General features: G+C 42.9%; 1 annotated feature.

The window, feature by feature from the left end:
- Positions 569 to 1,768: an enhancer, noted in NCBI's record as "P300/CBP strongly-dependent group 1 enhancer chrX:65937581-65938780 (GRCh37/hg19 assembly coordinates)". NCBI's record gives its function as "activates an origin of replication core promoter dependent on BRD2, BRD4, P300/CBP, MED14 and CDK7 cofactors, with strong dependence on P300/CBP, by STARR-seq in HCT116 cells {active_cell/tissue: HCT116}" and the evidence as "EXISTENCE:reporter gene assay evidence [ECO:0000049][PMID:35650434]".

Genomic DNA, 2,734 nt, shown 5'->3' with positions numbered 1-2,734 from the left:
AGGTCTGCTGGAGTTTGCTGGACGTCCACTCCAGAACCTGTTTGCCTGGGTATCACCAGTGGAGGCTGCAGAACAGCAAAGATTGCTGCCTATCCCTTCCTCTGGAGGCTTTGTCCCAGAAGGGCACCCACCAAATGCCGTCTGGAGCTCTCCTGTATGAAGTGTCTGTCGACTCCTGCTGGGAGGTGTCTCCCAGTCAGGTGTCACAGGGGTCAGGGACCCACTTGAGGAGGCAGTCTGTCCCTTAGCAGAGCTTGAGCACTGTGCTTTGAGATCCACTGCTCTCTCCAGAGCTGGCAGGCAGAAACGTTTAAGTTTGCTGAAGGTGCACTCACAGCCACCCCTTTTCACAGGTGCTCTGTCCCAGGGAGATGGGAGTTTCATCTATAAGCCCCTGACAGGGGCTGCTGCCTACCTTTCAGAGATGCCCTGCCCAGAGAAGAGGAATATAGAGTGGCAGTCTGGCTACAGAGGCTTTGCTGAGCTGTGGTGGGCTCCGCCCAGTTTGAATTTCCTGGAAGCTTTTTTACACTGTGAGGGGGAAATCACCTACTCAACCCTCAGTAATGGTGGACGCCCCCTCCCCCCACCAAGCTCAAGCATCTCAGGTCAACTTTAGACTTCAGACTGCTGTGCTGGCAGCAAGAATTTCAAGCCAGTGTATCTTAGCTGTCTGGGCTTCGTGGGGGTGGGTTCCACTGAGCTAGACCACTTGGCTCCCTGGCTTCAGACCCTTTACTAGGGGAGTGAACAGTTCTGTCTTGCTGTTGTTCCAGGCGCCACTGGGGTATGAAAAAAACTCCTGCCACTAGCTCAGGGTCTGCCCAAATGGCTGCTCAGTTTTGTGGTTGAAACCCAGGTCCCTGGTGGTGTAGGCACCTGAGGGAATCTTGTGGTCTGTGGATTGTGAAGAGCATGGGAAACGCATAGTATTTGGGCCAGAATGCACCGTTCCTCATGGCACAGGCCTTCACGAATTCCCTTGGCTAGGGGAGGGAGTTCCCCGACCTCTTGCACTTCCCAGGTGAGGCATCACCTTACCCTGTTTCTACTCACCCTCTGTGGGCTGCACCCACCTTCTAACCAGTTCCAATGTTATGAGCTGGGTACTTCAGGTGGAAATGCGGAAATCACTCGCCTTCTGCGCTGATCTTTCTGGGAACTGCAGATTGGAGCTCTTCCTATTCGGCCATCTTGCCAGCCACCCCTCTTCTCCTTCTTATATTACACTTATTTCCTGACTAATTTAATCCCCTTATTTAGCTTAAACCAAGACCTGAAGCTGACGGTTACTAAATTTATGTCCACAGCCCAGGCTGCTTCTCCAACACCAGACCTATATATCAAAATACCTATCATATGTTTCACAGGCACATCAAAACTTCTTCTGAAACTGAATTCATCATTTCCCCCTTTCCTCAGATATAAACTTAGTCACCAAATTAGTCACCAAAGCCAAAAACGTGACTGTAATTCTTGATTCCTGCTTATCCCTTAACTCTTACATCCCATCAATCCTCAATTTATCTATTGATTTGACAAATTCTACCTGATATGCTATTTTGTTCCCAGCATTATGCTAGGTGCAGTCCCTACCACAGTAACTACTTTCATGAAGCTTTCATCCTAGTAGCAAGCCCAGTATTAAGCTTTGATTTATACACTAAATTAATTACATTTTTAGTTGTAAATGATTTTTTAACTACTAGATTTATGTTTTTAGAGGAGCTGTAGGTTTGTCAAAACACTGAGCAAAAAGAACAGAGTTTCCATATACTCATTGTCTTGCCCCACACTCTCAGGTTTCCCTATTATTAACATCTTGCCTGATTGAGGTATATTTGTTACAATTGATGAATCAACATTGATACATCATTTAAACTTAAGCCCATAGTTAACATTATGGCTCATTCTTTGTATTGTGCAGTTCTACCAGGCTTGCCAAGTACATAAAGCCATGTATCTACTATTACAATAATAGTATAGCACAGTTTCACTGCTCTAAAAATCCCGTGTTTCACCTATTTAATCCTCCTACTATCCATGACGACCACTGATTTTCAGTCAGTATAGTTTTGTCTTATCGAGAATGTCACATAGTTGGAATCATATAGCATGTAGCATTTTCAGACCAGGTTCTTTCACTTACCGATATGCATTTAAGATTTCTCCTTGCCTTCTTGAGGCTTAATAGTTCATTTCTTTTCATTGTTGAATAATATTATCTTGTATGGATTTATCAGTTTGTTTACCCATTCACTTATTGAAAGGATATCTTGGTTGCTTCCAACTTTTGTCGATTATGAATAAATTTATAACAAATATTCATATGCAGATTTTGTGTAGACATAAATCTTTAATTCATTTCAGTAAATATCTAGTAGTATGATTGCTGGATCATACAATAAGACTATGTTTAGTTTTGTAAGAAACTGCCAAACTGTCTTCCACAGTGGCTGTGTCATTTTGCATTCCCACCAGGAATGAATGAAGGCTTCTGTTGCTCTACATTCTCAATAGCATTTGGCATTGTCAGTATTGTGCCATTCTAATAGATGTGCAGTAGAATTTCATTGTTGCTTTAATTTGTAATTCTCTAATGTTAATTAGATATTAACAATTTTAAATTCTAGAAATTAGAAGACTATTGCACTATAAGAACATGTAGCATAGAACATTACTTAGTCTGGAATCATGGAAGATTTCTCTGAAAAGGTGATGTTTGAGTTGAATG

This window comes from Homo sapiens, chromosome X (genome assembly GCF_000001405.40).
Source record: "Homo sapiens chromosome X, GRCh38.p14 Primary Assembly".
Taxonomy (NCBI): domain Eukaryota; kingdom Metazoa; phylum Chordata; class Mammalia; order Primates; family Hominidae; genus Homo; species Homo sapiens.
This window is presented reverse-complemented; position numbering and strand designations above follow the sequence as displayed.